Source organism: Homo sapiens, chromosome 2 (genome assembly GCF_000001405.40).
Source record: "Homo sapiens chromosome 2, GRCh38.p14 Primary Assembly".
NCBI lineage: Eukaryota > Metazoa > Chordata > Mammalia > Primates > Hominidae > Homo > Homo sapiens.
This window is the reverse complement of record NC_000002.12, coordinates 170,723,136-170,739,822: the sequence shown is the minus strand read 5'-3', so window position 1 is coordinate 170,739,822 and position 16,687 is coordinate 170,723,136. Positions and strand designations below refer to the sequence as shown.

General features: G+C 42.0%; 1 long non-coding RNA gene across 1 annotated transcript in view; it reads left to right on the top strand.

The window, feature by feature from the left end:
- Positions 1-16,687, top strand: part of ERICH2-DT (ERICH2 divergent transcript) — a 70,399-nt gene that overhangs the window by 30,944 nt on the left and 22,768 nt on the right. The window contains exons 2-5 of the long non-coding RNA NR_110185.1: positions 12,035-12,164; positions 12,495-12,538; positions 13,734-13,780; positions 16,230-16,319. This is a non-coding gene — a long non-coding RNA (ERICH2 divergent transcript). The remainder of the gene's footprint in view (positions 1-12,034; positions 12,165-12,494; positions 12,539-13,733; positions 13,781-16,229; positions 16,320-16,687) is intronic.

Below are 16,687 nucleotides of genomic sequence, written 5' to 3'. Positions count from 1 at the left end.
CCATATTGGCTCCTTTTCTGCTTGTTGGACCCCTGAGTCTTTCTTCCACTTCAGGCTTTTGCACCAGGAGCTCCCTTTATGCCCATGACTCCTCTCCTCAACCCATCCTCCAACACGCCTAGTCCAGTATTTACCAAGCTTCAGGTTTACACCTAACACCTTCATGTTTGCCCTTTCTGTGTAATGCGTACTCTATTATTTTTCTTATGATCTTTTTTACATTGACAGCTTTTAAAACTTAAATACATTTATTTTACAAGGAAATTTTATATGCCAACGTAAATGGAAAGCCAATTTCACTGGCCACAAATAATGCAAAACCATAAAATACAGAATAATGACAATAATATATCTGTGTACCACTAGTTTCTGTAACATACTTTGCAACACCCTAGTTTAATTACTTTTTACTCATTGTTGAGTTATTTATTAGCTTAAATATTGCTTTGTTTTAGGGAAGTCTTCTCTAACTGCTTGGACTAGACCAAGCTCCTATGCAGCACATTCCTGGACCATGACTGCATAACATTTGTGAGCTACGCAGCACTCATAGTTACATATTTGTGTGATTATTTTACAGTGTTTGCCTTGCCAACTGGACTTAAGCTTCATGAGAACAGGATTTGTATTAATTTTGCTCCCCTCACATCTGTGCTGACCACAGCGTGAGCCTATTGTTAATGCTTAAAAAATACCTACGGAATGAATAAGTGAATACCTGTATGAAATTATCACCTGAGAGCAACCAACTTCCTTTGTTTTGCTTCCATGCCCACCAATACGTCTTCTAACTACAATGAAGTTTCCTCAAATTCCTCTTCTTTTTTTTAGAGACAGGGTCTTTCAGTCTGTCACCCAGGCTGGAGTGCAGTGGCTCAATCATAGCTCACTGTAACCTCCAATTCCTGGGCTCCAATGATCCTTCTGCCTCAGCCTCCTAAGTAGCTAGAACTACAGGCACATATCACCATGCACAACTAATTTCTTGAAAAATTTTTGTAGCCCAGGAGTTCCAGACCAGCCTGGTCAACATGGCAAGATCCCATCTCTACACTATATTGCCCAGGCTGGTCTCAAACTCCTGGGCTCAAGCAATCCTCCTGCCTCAGCCTCCTGCATAGCTGGGACTACACATTTGCATCACTGTACTCAGCTCTGAAATTATTTTTGAAAGAAAGCAGGGTAAATATAAGTAATGTATGAATAAATGAATAGATGGATTTCAGGAAGAGGGTGGCCTGGAGTGGCAAATCATAGTTACCAAAATGACTGCAACAGTCTCTCCCATTCCACGTGTTCTGCAGAGGGACTTTGTCACTCCCACATCAAGAGACAGAATCTGGCCGGGCACGGTGGCTCATGCCTGTAATTCCAGCACTTTGGGAGGCTGAAGCAGGCAGATCACTTGAGGTCAGGAGTTCGGGACCAGCCTGGCCAACATGGTGAAACCCCATCTCTACCAAAAATACAAAAATTAGCTGGGCATGGTGGCACATGCCTGTAAGCCCAGCTACTCAAGAGGCTGAGGCACAAGCATCGCTTGAACCCGGGAAGCGGAGGTTGCAGTGAGCTGAGATTGTGCCACTGCACTCCAGCCTGGGTGATGGAGAACTCTGTCTCAAAACTAAATAAATTAAAAAAGAAAAAAAGACACAGAATCTAATTCCCTCCTTTTGAATATATATTAGTCTAAGTGACTCACTTGAACCAACAAATGTGACTTCCAAAGCTAATCAGAAAGGTCAGTCAGCTTCCACCTTTCTCTTAGAACATTCACGGCCTGGCTGTGCCTCTCAGGACACTCCCTCACCGGGCCCAGCCACCATGCTGTGAAGAGCCAAGCCACATGGGAAAGCCACGTGGCAGGTTTTCTGGTTGCCAGCTCCAGCTGAGCCCAGTCTTCAAGCCACCCTAGCCCAGGCAACAGACATGTGAGTGGGGCAGCCGCCAGGTGATTCCTGCCCCTAGTCATTCCAGTTTTCCCAACTGACACCCTAGATATTGTGGGGCAAAAATAGACCATCCTTGTTGTACTGTATCTGAATTCCTGACCCACAGAATCTGTGAGCACAGTAAGATAACTATTGTCTACACCACTAAGTTTTGGGGGTGGTTTGTTGTGGAGTAATAGATAACCAGAACAGAATTTGGTACCTGGAAGTGGGATTCTCCCATAACAAAAACCCAAAACATAAGCGAAAGCAATCAGCTTTTGACTAGTCAGCAGAAAGAAGCTTGTGGAAATAAAGGAAGATCAACCAAATGAGAATAACCAAAGGCTATTTATTTAGAGCTTGCTGTAGCAAGGGAGCCAGCTGCCATTACTTGCATTTGGGAAGACACTCAAAAGCAGGCGGGAGTGGGAAAGCTTTTAGTGGAAAAAAGGGAAGGCTTTGGGTATGCCCTATTGGAGGCTGCTGGCATTGGGAAGCTTTAGTTAGGCTAACTAGAAGTGGGGCATCCTCTTTGACTGGTTAGACTGCACATTTGGCTTTCCCTGGTTGGCTGTAAGTTGGAAGTGGGGACAAAAATAAAAAAATTAGGGAAGCTGTCAGTTATTAATCAAGTCTTGGTCATTTGGGGCCAGTTGTTACAGAGGCTATTGTTTGGTTTCCTGGATTGTTGCTAGAGATAGCAGACTGATTTCTAGTAGGCTTGCTTCTTCGGCTGGTTTCTCTAAATCATGGGCTGGTTTTCTAGGTTGGTTGCTGCAGATTGTGGGTCAGAGTTCTATTTTTTCATATTTTCTGGCCATTGTCTGTATGTATATTCAGTCTTTCAGGCTTAAATGGCCTTGAGAAGTTTGTTGGTGAAAGCTGGACTGACCTTGAGAAGACTACCAGTGAAGGCTGGAAAGATGGGGAGGAAGTTATGACTGGAGGGTGGAAGAAAAGTGACCTCGTTAAATGTAGCAAAAGGTTTAGCAACATTGCCACCTACAGTAACACTGAAAATAGAAAATATACCTAATGAACCAGTGGGTTTGGCCAAGGATATTTCCTGGCAGACAATTTAAAGTGTCAATTTGTTTCTACTTATGATGAAATATGGCTGGAGAAAGAGGAACTGTCAGTTTTCCAGCACACTTTAGAGGAAGTATGGAGGGCTCAAATCAGTCTTTCTAGTTAGCAAAGCATTCTGAAGGTCCTCAGTGCAATGGCTGAATTGGGGGCACATTCTGATACTAAATTCAGTCTCAATAGCAGCTCACATCCCTCCCACATAGAAAATGTACTCTCCCTTTCCTGAAGGTCTACAGAGTCTTATCCTATTACTGCATCAGTTCAAAGTCCAAGATTTTGCCATCAAATCAGGTGCCAGCGCTGATGAGGTTTCTCGGGTACAGCCCCTTTAGTATGGTTTCTCGAAATCTGGAAGACCTGAGGGCCAAAGACACAAGTGGTGTTTTAAGATCCTTGAAAGGCCTACTTCTGTCTGAAAGTGTTCATGAGGTACCATCTGAAATCTTTCTGAGGTCTTATAACAGTATTTAGAGTCACATCGGTGGCTGCATCTTTTCTACGTGGGAGGGATGTGAGCGGCTATTGCTGGCATGTGGGCTGTGACAGATTGCGCTTTTCCAAAGATGATGGTGTTGATGAAAAGAGTCAAACTCTGTAAAATAGTAAAAGAGGTTTATTCTGAGCCAAATATGAGTGACCAAGGCCCGAGACGCTGTCTCAAGAGGTCCTGAGAACATGTGCCCAATGTGGCTGGGTTACAGCTTGATTTTATATATTTTAGGGGGACAGAAGTTACAGGCAGACATCAATCAATACATGTGAGGTGTACATTGGTTTGATCCAGAAAGGTGAGACAACTCAAAGCAGGGGCTTCCAGGTCACAGATGGATTCAACAACTTTCTGACTGGCAATTGCTAGAGAGAGCTAAGTTATTATCTAAAGACTTGGAGTTGGCTGGGCACAGTGGCTCCCGCCTGTAATCCCAGCACTTTGGGAGGCTGAGGAGGGCAGATCACTTGAGGTCAGGAGTTTGAGACTAGCATGGCAAACATGGTGAAACCCTGTCTCTACTAAAAATACAAAAATTAGCCGGGCATGGTGGCACATGCCTGTAATCCCAGCTACTCGGGAGACTGAGGCAGGAGAATCAGTTGAACCCGGGAGGCAGAGGTTGCAGTGAGCTGAGGTCATGCCGTTGCACTCCAGCCTGGGCAACACAGTGAGACTCTGTCTCAAAAAAAAAAAAAAAAAAAAAAAGAAGACTTGGAATCAATAGAAAGGAATGACTGGGTTAAGTTAAGGGGTTGTGGACACCAAAGTTTTTATTATGTAGATGAAGCCTCCAGCTAGCAGGATTCAGAGAGAATAGATGGTAAATGTCTCTTATCAGACCCTAAAGGATACCGGACTCAGTTTAATCTCTCCTGGATCAGGAAAAGACCTGTAAAGAGAAGGGGATTTTCTACAGAATGGAGAATTTTCTCCAACAGAGATAGATAGTTTTTCAGGGTCATTGCAAAATACATCAAAGAAACATATTTAGGGGTAAAATACTTTGATTACTTTCAGGGCCTGCTATTTGTCGTGTGATGCTATACTACAGTCAGCCTGGAATTTGGTATCTTATTGTTACAAACAGTCTCTTTTGTCCATATATATATATATATATTTTTTTTTTTTTTTTTTTTAAGACAGGGTGTCTCTCTGTCTCCCAGACTGGAGTGCAGTGGCGCAATCTCAGCTCACTGCAACCTCCGCCACCCAAGTTGAAGTGATTCTCCTGCCTCAGCCTCCCTAGTAGCTGGGATTACAAGTGTGCACCACCACACCTGGCTAATTTTTGTATTTTTAGTAAAGAGAGGGTTTTACTATGTTGGCCAGGCTGGTCTTGAACTCCTGACCTCGGGTGATCCACCCCCCTTGGCCTCCCAAAGTGCTGGGATTACAAGTGTGAGCCACCACGCCAGCTCTTTTGTCAGTCTTCAGATCTCTGTTTCAATGCTAATGCTGGTCAGTTGTGCCTGAATTTCAAGGGAGGAGGGCACAGTGAGGCATGTCTAACCCTCCCTTTCCATCATGGCTTGAACTAGTTTTTCAGGTTTACTTTGGAATGCCCTTGGCCAAGAGGAGGAGTCCATTCAGTTGGCTGGGGGGCTTAGAATTTTATTTTTGGTTTACAGTGGAAGATGGATCCTTTGCAATGTGAATTGGCCACTCCCCCTTCAAGTTCTGGAGTCTACTCCAGAACTAGATTCCCTTGAATCTAGGCTAGCCTTAGTGATTTGCTTATAACCAATAAATTGTGACAGAATTATCATTAAAAAGACATTCCCTCTTGGAACCCAGCTGCCATGTTGTGTGAAACACAAGCCATGTGTGGAGGCCACAAATAGGTGCTCTGGTTGACAAACTCAACTGAGCTCAGACTTCAATTCATGCTAGCTCAGGTACCAGGCATGTCAGCAAAGCAGTCTCCAGATGATTCTAGCTCCCAGGCATTCAAGTCACCCCCAATGGAGTCATTCCTAAAGGAGGCTCCAGACACTGTAGGACACAGCCCACTCTCACTGTGCCCTTTGTGAATTCCTGTCCTGCAGAGTACATGAGCATAGTACAATGGTTACTATTTTATGCCATTAAGTATTGGGGTGGTTCTACTTAGCAATAGGTAAGCCAGAACACCTGGTTAGATACACAAGCGTTCATAAGAATCATGTCATTTTCAAGCAGGAAAAGACCTCAAGAGATCATCCAGTCCTCCTTCCTCAGTTTTCAGATAAGGAATCAGAGTTACATGACTTGCCTGAAGTCATGCAATTAGCTGGCAGACCAAGAGTCTGAAGTCCTTTCCCATTACAATACAGACATGCTCATCATGCCCTGCAAACTCCTATGAACTGGAACTACAGCAGCTGTTCTGCCAGGGACAGGTTCTTCTCTAAAGTTCCAGCTCTCTGGAGGGAGAAAGCCCTGACTTTGGGTAAGCCTTTAAACTGAAGCTCCCTGTGGGGTCTATCTAAAGAGTCATCCCTCACTTTACTAGGCTGGCCAACTTGGTTCTTCCTTTTCTCAGTCTTCCTTGGTCTTTCTCCCTCTCTTCCTTGTGGCTTCTTCCACTCCACTATTTTCTTCTCTTTCCCTTTTACAACACTGGGTATTGAAATACTGTGTATCAATCAATGGCCTTGAGGGGCACAGAGTATGCTTGAAATTATGGGGTAAGACTCATAACAGAAGTGAAAGGGATCATCCAGCTGTTGGTAGTTATCAGAGGAGCTCAAGATTTGAAAGAGACAGAAGTAGAACACCCCATCTACAAGGAGACTCCTGACACATCTCATCAGTCACCAAGGTCCTAAGGAATTACATTTGGAAATTCTTTAATCTCTCTTCCACTTATATGATCTCAGAGAAGTGAAGTGATTTTCCTAGATCATACATACTCTTTGTGCCTCTTTGGAAATCCCAAAGCATCAAAATGGGTAGTTGCATTTTTCTCCTTTAAAGATTTTATTTGTGGCTTTTTAATATTTAAATCACTGATATTCAAAGGTACATTTTCAACATCAAAAATTTAGACTTTATAGATAGCAGCATTAAGTTCTAGCATTGGGAACACATTAAAAGGATGCTTTTCAAGTGTTTAATGGAACATATGTATCTTCTCAAGAGTGGTGCTTTAGCATGACTATAAAGAGGGGAAATTCTAAAACAAGGCCATATTCTTCAGAGGAAAAAAGTAAGCCTTATGAAGAAAGAAAACAGAAAATCAGATTTTTAAAGCCTGGTCTGGGAAGATATTTAGGGGTTGTTTAACTAAACTCAAGTATATCTAAGAGGTTGACAATTCATTCTGTCCCACTGAAGAGCTGGAAATATAAAGGAATCATTAAGTTTAAACCTAGTAAAATTGTTGGTTTGGGTTCTATGTTGCTGTTTTTATCTATTTTCTAGAAAGCTTTCACATTTCCAGAAAAGAAAGAGAAATGATTTTTATATATTTAGTTTTAACACAATGTCTTGCTCTGTCACTGAGGCTGGAGGGCAGTGGCGCCATCTCTGCTTACTGCAACCTCTGCCTGCTGGATTCAAGCAATCCTCCCACCTCAGCCTCCCGAGTAGCTGGGACTACAGGCATGTGCCACCATCCCCTGCTAAACTTGTTTGTTTGTTTGTTTGTATTTATAGTAGAGACAGGTTTTGCCATGTTGCCCAGGCTGATCTCGAACTCCTGAGCTCGAGCGATCTTTCCACCTTGGCCTCCCAAAGTGCTGGGATTACAGGTGTGAACCACCACGCCCAGTCCAGAAGGATGAATGATTTAACTAAACACACAGATGGAGAGACTGGTGCACAAAAAAGTAAACATAGTTGATCAAGGTCAAGGATTGGTCCATTTAAATCACAGTTCTTTACTGCTTTTGGATTATGAATTCTTTCAGGATTCAACTAAAGTTTGGATGCACTCTCCAGAAAAATTTGGACATTAAAAAATTTGCATATGTCTTAGTCAGTTCTGGCTACTATAACAGAGTTCCATAAACCTGGTAGCCTATAAACAACAGAAATTTATTTTTCATAGTTCTGGAGGCTGGGAGCCCAAGGTAAGAGTAACAACATGGTTGGGTTCTGGTGAGGGCCCTCTTCAGGTTTCAGACAGCCAACTTCTCATTGCATCCTTACATGGCAGAAACAGGACTAGGGAACTCCTTGGGGTCTCTTTTATAAGGGCAGTAATCCCATTTATGAGGGCTCCACCCTCATGACCTAATGACCTTCCAAAAGCTCCACCTCCTAATACCATGACATGGTGGGTTAGGATTTCAACATATGAATTTTGAGGAGACAGAAACATTCCATCTATAACAGCATACAATGCCCATTCATGAATTCCACATCTGTGAATCTCTGGGCTAAATATAGGATAAATCCAGACAATGGATAAAGTGGTTAAAATGATGAACTCCATCTTCTATGTTTTGAAGTAGAAATTGAGCCCTATTACTGAAAGGGTTTAAGGAGTAGACCATAGAATAGGACCATATAAGTAGTATAATACTGTTTTTATTAAATATTTATATTGTGCATATACAGCAAAACAATTTTATTGAGTACTTGTTATGTACCATTTTTCTAAGTTATTTAATCTATATATTTTATTTTTTAATGAATGAATTTTTTTCTTTTTTAAATTTCAATAATTTGGGGGAAACAGGTGGTGTTTGGTTGCAAGGAAATGTTCTTTAGTGGTGATTTCTGAGATTTTGGTGCACCCATCTCCCAAGCAGTGTACACTGTACCCAATGTGTAGTCTTTTATCACTCACTCCACTCCTACCCTTCCCCTTGAGTCCCTAAAGTCCATTATATCATTCTTATGTCTTTGCATCCCCATAGCTTAGCTCCCAGTTATAAGAGAGAACACACAATGTTTGGTTTTTCATTCTTGAGTTATTTAATTCACTTAGTTATCTATTCACTTAGAATAATAGTCTCCAACTCTATCCAGGTTGCTGCAAACACCATTATTTCATTCCCTTGTATTCCATGTTAACCTGTACAACTTAATCCCCACAGCAACCCTATAAGTTAGACACTATTGTTATAACCATTTTGCAAATGAGGAAATCACACACACACACACACACACACACACACACTCAAACTGGAAGCCACGAGGTTAGGAATCATATCCAGCATCTGGGACACGGCAAGGCACACTGAAGGTGATACATAAAGTTGTGTTGATTTAATGAATGAGCCAAATGTTAACAGTTTTTTTTTTTTCAACAGAGGTAGAGGATAAGGCAACCCTTTTATTGTCTACTTCTGTTTTGTACTTAATTTTTTTTCTTTTTTTAGATGGAGTTGAGCTCTGTCGCCCAGGCTGGAGTGCAGTGGCACCATCTCAGCTGACTGTGACCTCCGCCTCCTGGGTTCAAGTGATTCTCCTGCATCAGCCTCCCGAGTAGCTGGGACTACAGGTGCACACCACCATGCCCGGCTAATTTTTGTATTTTTAGTAGAGACGGGGTTTTGCCATGATGGCCAGGTTTGGTCTCAAACTCCTAACCTCAAGTGATCCACCCTCCTCAGCCTCCCAAAGTGCTGGGATTACAGGCGTGAGCCACTGCGCCCCGCCTACTTGAATTTTTTTTTTTTTTTTTTTTTTTGAGACAGAGTTTTGCTCCTGTTGCCCAGGCTGGAGTGCAACGGCATGATCTCGACTCACTGCAACCTCTGCCTCCTGGGTTCAAGTGATTCTCCTGCCTCAGCCTCCCAAATAGCTGGGATTACAGGTGCCCACCACTGTGCCTGGCTGATTGTATTTTTAGTAGAGATGGGGTTTCATCATGTTGGTCAGGCTGGTCTTGAACTCCAGACCTCAGGTGATCGGACTGCCTCGGCCTCCCAAAGTGCTGGGATTACAGGCATGACCCACTGTGCCCGGACCTGCTTGAATTTTTATGATGAGCATGTTGGCAGATCACGGTTAGTTTTCAACAAATATCCATGTGCTTCTCTATGTTTCCCAATCTCTGTGCTTCTAGGTGTGTTTGTGGGACTAATTCTCACCAATGGAATGTGTGTGGAAGTAATGCGTCTCCTTCAGGCTGAGGCAGTTAAGAGACAAGGACTATTGGGGGCCATCTCTGAGGCTAGCTATCACAGAGACCATAAGATATTCAGCAACGTGATAGACTCAGTTTGCCTGTGTAATTTATAGAGGACATGAAGACAAATTTCAGGTTGCTGTTTTGTTGTATAATTCCCTGAAATTATCTTGTTTATTGGGTCTTTCCTGCCTTACTGGAATATCAGCTTCCTGAGAGTGTAAAGCTCGTGTCTGTTCTGCTGTCTGCTGTTTCCCTGGCGCCTGACACAGTGACTGCCACATGAGAAGAGCCCCTAAAATAGTGAAATAAATGAAGAATCACATGAGTGAAATCCTCTTGGTACCTGAGTATGGGCAAAGCTGGAAAACAGTGATGGAGTTTTCCATAGCAGCATCCTAAGAAGACACCCTTAAGCTAGTGAGAACGCATTTTGAGGACATCAGCAAACACAGCCTAAGAGGGGCTTAAATGGTGATATCACCTGGGCTTGCTTTCTCAGGTACTCTTTTAAAAGGATGTAATTCACAGCTGTCCCAAGAAGACTCACCAGGAACACCGTTAATAACTGCCTTAGAAGCATTTTGTGATCTATCATTTAGGATATTTGTTTAGTTGCTGTAACAGGTACCAAGTAACCATGGCTTAAACAAGATGGTCTGTCTTTCAAATAAAAGTCCAGCTGGTAGGCAGCCCAGGAAAGGTGGGCTGCTCTGCTTCTTGTGATGGTCTGAGGACCCTTATGCCTTCTGTTTTGTTGCTTTGCCATCCTCTCGGGTGTTGTCCTATCCACATGATTGAGTTAAATGCCCAACATTATGTCCGCATTCCAGCCTCAAGAAAGAGGAAAGAAGAAAGGGAGAGCATGCAACTTTCTTTTAAGGATGTGACCTAGAAGTGACATACATCACTTAGGCTCACATGCCATTGGTGGGAACTTAGTCATATGGCCACAACTAGTTGCAAGTGAGGCTGGGATATGTCATCTCTAGATGGACAATCATGTACCTCCCAAAAACTTGGGGATTACTATTACCAAAAGGAAGAAAGAAAATATGAATGGGTGGGATTGGCAGTCTCTCATCAGTAGGAAAGCATCATGACTGATGCTGAGAAACTCTTTGCCCAAGTCTTTATGGCCTATATATGTAACTCCATATTACTGACAGTGTGCATCACAGGGTGTGGTAGGTGGCTTCTAAAATGGCCTCAAATGATTCCTGTCTCCTGGTACTCATGCCCTTGTGTAATCCCTTTTTCTTGAATGACTTCCTTCAAGTTAATAGACTGTTGATAGGCTGCCACTTCTATGATTAGATTATTAAAGATGTACCTCCATTTTCCTAGCTGACTTTATTGCCTTTGCAGCTTGCAAGCTTTGATGAAGCAGCCATGTTGGGGAGGCCCATATAGCAAGAAACCAAAGTCAGTCTCCAGGCAATAGCCAACAAAGAACTGAGGTCCTCAGTCCAATAGCCCACAAAGAACTGAATCCTACCAATAACCACTTGAGTTTGGAAATGGATCCCTTACCAATCGAGCCTTCAGATTAGACCCCAGCCTTGGCTGACACCTTCACTGTAGCCTTTTATGTAAGATCCTGAAGCAGATGACGCAACTAAACTGTGCCTGGACTTCTGATGCACAGAACCCGTGAGATAATAAATGTATGTTGTTTGAAGCCTCTAAGTTGGTGGTAATTTGTTGCAACAAAAAAAAACTAATACATAGGGGTCTTTGTTAAGACTGCTGCTCTGGGTCTAACTGTTTTAGGAGCACCATACCTGTTCCTTCTGAGGCATGGCCCTTCCATACCTCCAGATCCATCAGTCCTCCACACAACACATACCCACACCACTACCATCTCTTCTCCATCTGAGACACTCTCCTTCTCTCTTCAGCTGTGGCTTCTTCCACCTCCTGCCTTGTGGTTTTTGCTTTTTTTTTTTTTCCCTTTGAATGGTCACTCAACATACTCTTCTAAGTTAGTTTAGATTATGATAATAGCCAGGAAGGTAGTGGTACAGGAATGTCTTTAAAAGCTGGAGAAATGAGACTTGGGGAATGCAAAGGAATGACTGTTAGACATTGGGAAGTTGAGATTGCCTCAGAGAAGCCATCAGACCCAGGATCTGGAAGAGACAGACAGAGACAGTTAGCATCTTCCTAGAACCACCACCATATCCCCACTCAAACAGCTCAAGGAAGAAAGGGATTCTGGTCTTTAATCTGAACCCACCTCTTATAGATGCCAATGGGAAGAGACACTACCAGTTAAAACTATGGCATATTTACTATACTGACCATACTTGTAGTACCTTATATTCACAACAAATACTTATTGAGTATATAGTATGTGCCAGGCATTATATTAGGCTCCAGTATGTGGTAGTGAATAGCCTCTGCTCTCCTGATGTTCCTAAATATTTCCTGTCAACGTTCTGTATTTCTTACTAGACTGCCAGCTCCGTGACAGCAAGAACCTTGTATGACTTTTTCATGATGGATGTTCATCTGTGCCATCTGTAAATATTGAATAAATATTTGTGGAATACATGAATCTAAAAGTGAATGGAATGATAAAGAGGTAAGATATCAGGTGAGGGAGTAAGATTTTACAGTACGGTGACTTTACTAGAATGCAAACTCTATGAGGGCTGGACCTTGATGAGTATTGGTTGCTTCATCTGTACAATAAAGAGGCTTGATTTGGTGAACTCTGAAATCATTTTGGTTATAAACCTCAATGACTCTGATTCTGAACTGTCACAGAAAGATATGAGCCCAGAATAAAATATCTAGAACATATATATTTAACTCAATTTTTGTGACTTCAGTTCAGAATTTAATTAATTTTAGTTGGGAATTTAGCAAACCCACGTGATCATTTAGTGTCTTTATTCTTATATTTTGACAGGGAAAGGGTCATGACATCTACTACAGCATTTGGCACAGACCCAGGTAAATAAGATAAAACTTCTAAGTCACTTCTCCTCTTCGAGATCATGGAATATATTGTGTCAGACCTCAGCAATCAGCTGTGGACTTTTTAAAAAGGAAAATCAGATATGGATTTATTACCTGAGCATTTGCCGTTGTCAAAATGTGTAGATGTTACCCCATTCACTAGGTTTTCTCTTGTAAGGAAGCATTTCTCTAATGGTGATCTTCCAACCACCTGTCTTAGAGTCACTGGGGTGATGTTTATAATGAAACTAGCTTCCTCACCACTAGACCAAACGAATTAGCAGTTCTAGGGATGTAGCTCAGGATCCTCCATTTAAATAAGCATCCCAGGTAATTTTCATGCATGTAAAAAGCTGAGAGCCACCATTCTTAGTACTTTGGCAACTTCAGACCAAAGCTTCTCTCCATACTTCTTCCGAGTCTTCTCTCAGTCTCTATGCTCCTCAACCATCTCTCCCTTTGCTAGGCTGCTGGATTCCTATTGAATGTGCTTACTTGTGTAATGCACATGGATAATGATGTTTTCATTGGATCTGGCATGCTGTTTTCTCCTCTGTTAAATGAGAGAATCAGAGTTGCTGATTTTCTTTTTTTTTTTTTTTTTTAAAGACAGAATCTCCCTCTGTCACCCAGTCTAGAGTGCAGTGGCGTGATCTCGGCTCACTGCAACCTCCGCCTCCCCAGTTCAAGTGATTCTCCTGCCTCCTGAGTAGCTGGGATTATAGGCGCCTGCAACCACGCCCAGCTAATTTTTGTATTTTTAGTAGAGATGGGGTTTCACCATTTTGGCCATGGTTGGCCAGGCTGGTCTTGAACTCCTGACCTCAGGTGATCCACCCGCCTCAGCCTTCCAAAGTGCTAGGATTACAGGCTTGAGCCACCGTGCCCAGCCTCAGAGTCGGTGATTTTTAAGTCTCCAACCCCAACATGCTAAATTCTGTAAGTTGTGGCTGGGAAGATTTATCTTGTCTTAGAGAGCTCCCTTGATCTCTCAGGGATTGGGGCCTCCTTGGGAATATGCTACAGTCAGCATCATCCTAGCTTCTTGTTATTGTTCACTAGGGAGGCCTCCTAAAGGACCCCAAACAATGATGATTAGATAGTTTAGACTTGGGGGCAGAGTGAGGGGCCCATTCTCTGAAAAAAAAAAAATCATAGAATCATAGAGGTATTTTCATTTATGTTACAGGTTTCCCTGGTACTGGTAATTCCCAGCAGCTTTCTACAATTCCAAAGGTCAGAAATAAACTGCCAAAAAATTTTTACTAAATCATGTTCTGGTCTGGGATACAGCCCTGAAATGCACTTTGAGCAAGAAAGACTTTGTAGAGGAGAAAAAAGGTGGACCAATGAGGATTGGGCTAGAACCAGAGGAAAGTGAACATTCTTGGTTTAGATAAATATCCACAACCTTCTAAGGTTTTCATGTGTACTACAGAGAAGCTCCAGGCTCCTACATTTCCCTGTGGGTAGTTTTAAAAAGCTACTGTAGCAAAACAGAGGCTGGTGGTGACTACGCTTATCTTTTAGAAGAGCCATCATTGCATTTCTGCAGCACAGAATATATACGTGTTTTTTACTCTTAGTGGTGGAGTTTATATGTGACTCATGATGTTTAGTTGTTAATCATCCAATGATACTAAATACTGCTTAGTTAGCTCAGTATTCCCTTTAGGAAACCAGATATTGCTAAAGTCACTGTTCGACTTAATGGGGAAAATTCCACTAACATCTAAAATATGTGATTTATAATTCAAAAATGTAAATACTGTATTGGTATTACATACTATAAAAGGACAATTGTCTACACAATTACATAACATGCATGTAAGGATCAATATTTAATTAAGACTATTTTTGTATTCTCATTGGGAGTTAGAGCCCAATATTCTCAATTGGGTGAGAATTTCAGCCAAATGGTCTATCCATTTTCTTTTCTTTCTTTCTTTTTTTTTTTTGAGACAGATCTTGCTTTGTTGCCCAGGCTGGAGTGCAATGGTGTGATTTTGGCTCACTGCAACCTCCGCCTCCTGGGTTCAAGCGATTCTCCTGTCTCAGACTCCCGAATAGCTGGGATTACAGGTGTGCACCACCATGCCTGGCTAATTTTTGTATTTTTAGTAGAGGTGGGGTTTCACCATGTTGGTTAGGCTGGTGTCAAACTCCTGACCTCAGGTGATCTGCCTGCCTCGGCCTCCCAAAGTGGTGGGATTACAGGCGTGAGCCACTGTGCCTGGCCAGTCTATCCATTTTCTATTTCCCCAAAGTAACTTGTGAGAAATGTCTTAGGCTAGAATTTGCTTATATATTTTCCATCTTGCACATGGTTAAAACGTGCAGTTTCCTAAACCAGTGGTTCTCGAACATCAGTGTGCATTAGAATCACCTGGAGGGCTGGTTAAAACACAGATTGCCAGGCCGTTCTCAGGGTTTCTGATTTAGTAAGTCTGGCGGTTGGACCCGAGAATCTGCATTTCTAACCAGTGATTCCCAAGTGATGCTGATGCTGCAGGTCTGGGGACCAATGTCTTGAACTAACAGCTCTGAATAAAAATCTAATTGGATTCTGAATGCCACAGATGCAGTTTGGAGATTGTTTTTCAAAGCAGAATATCCATTTGTGGAATAAAAAAGTTTATCATTGTTATTACCTGAAGTAATTTCTCTTTCCTTTGTGTTTTTAGAGGAGTTTTGTTGGTCGCTTTTATCAGGCATTAGGCCTTGTATTACATTCATTTGTGCCTATGCTTTATCTCCTTTGTGACTGTGAGCTCTTTGAAGGACTGTGTTCATCTTTAAATCCTCATTGTACCTTACATCTTGTAGACTTCAAATCATTGTTTGGTAAATTGAATTTAGTGATGTGTACATGTTTTGTGCCTGCTTTCCTACATGTAATAATTATAAACAACAAATATCAAGTTAAGTATGCAGCTCACATATTCTTTTTTTTTTTTTTTTTGAGACAGAATCTCACTCTGCCACCCAGGCTGGAGTGCAGTGGCGTGGTCTCCGCTCACTGCAACCTCTGCCTCCTGGGTTCAAGCAATTCTCCTGCCTCAGCCTCCCAAGTAGCTGGGATTATAGGCATGGCATGCACCACTGTGCCCAGCTATAATAAGATTTATTCAGACTTTTTGGCTTACAGATGTTAGATTTGAGGCATTTCAGCTTTGGAAGAGACCATAAGGATAATTCAAGTCCAAAGGTCGTTAAAGTCCACCACATCTCCTCTACAGCCTACTCATACTCACCTTTAGTTAAAAAAAAAAACAAAACACAAAACACAAAATTCCAAAAACCTGGGGTGAGGGAGGCACCTTCCTTCCTGGGGTCCATTTCAAATTTGAGAAGGTGCTCAAACCTTGCCTTTCTACTTCTACCTAAATGACCCTATTTCAACCCCTTTTGATATCCTGTTTAGATAGGATATTCTCCACGTCTGTTATTCCCCATTTGTTTCCCCTTTCTTTACTCCTAGACCTCCCTGCTCCAGAAGCAAGGGGGCAGCCACAGCCCCACAGCCTCTAGCTGCTGGCTGCTCAGGGCACGCAGGCTTGCTATTGACAAGTCTGAATCATGACTGATGAAGGGAGTGCTCTCTCCCTAGAAAACAACTTGGCAACTTTCTACTTCAAACCCAGGCTCACTACAGAATTTCTTACCACAATGACTTTCTTGGCAGCTGTCTGCAGTACTATCAAGAGATGACATGGACTTCAAGGATCAAACAGGGGAGAAAAAGGCTTAAAAGAAAAACAAGTCTCCATCAAAGGTAATAACCACAATGAGAACTATACATAGCTATGTGCTTATAGGTCTTAGTTCACATTCCCCTCATTAAAATTATAGCTCAAGAAATAAAGGGCTGTTTAATGACTTGGGTATATAAATATACTTCATTTGTATATTTTTTACTTGCTAAAATCTATCCAAATTGGTATTACCTCAAACCATAATCTTCTACTGTATTTTATAATTTTACTTTATTGCCATGTATTTTTCCCACTGATGTTCACAAATTCACAGGAAACATCAGCCATGTACTAAATAAAATATGAATTGAATCGACAAATAGAACTATAAATTTAATTCAAGCACATGTAAAATTTAGACCAAAGAATAAAAATGTCTATTAAAAAT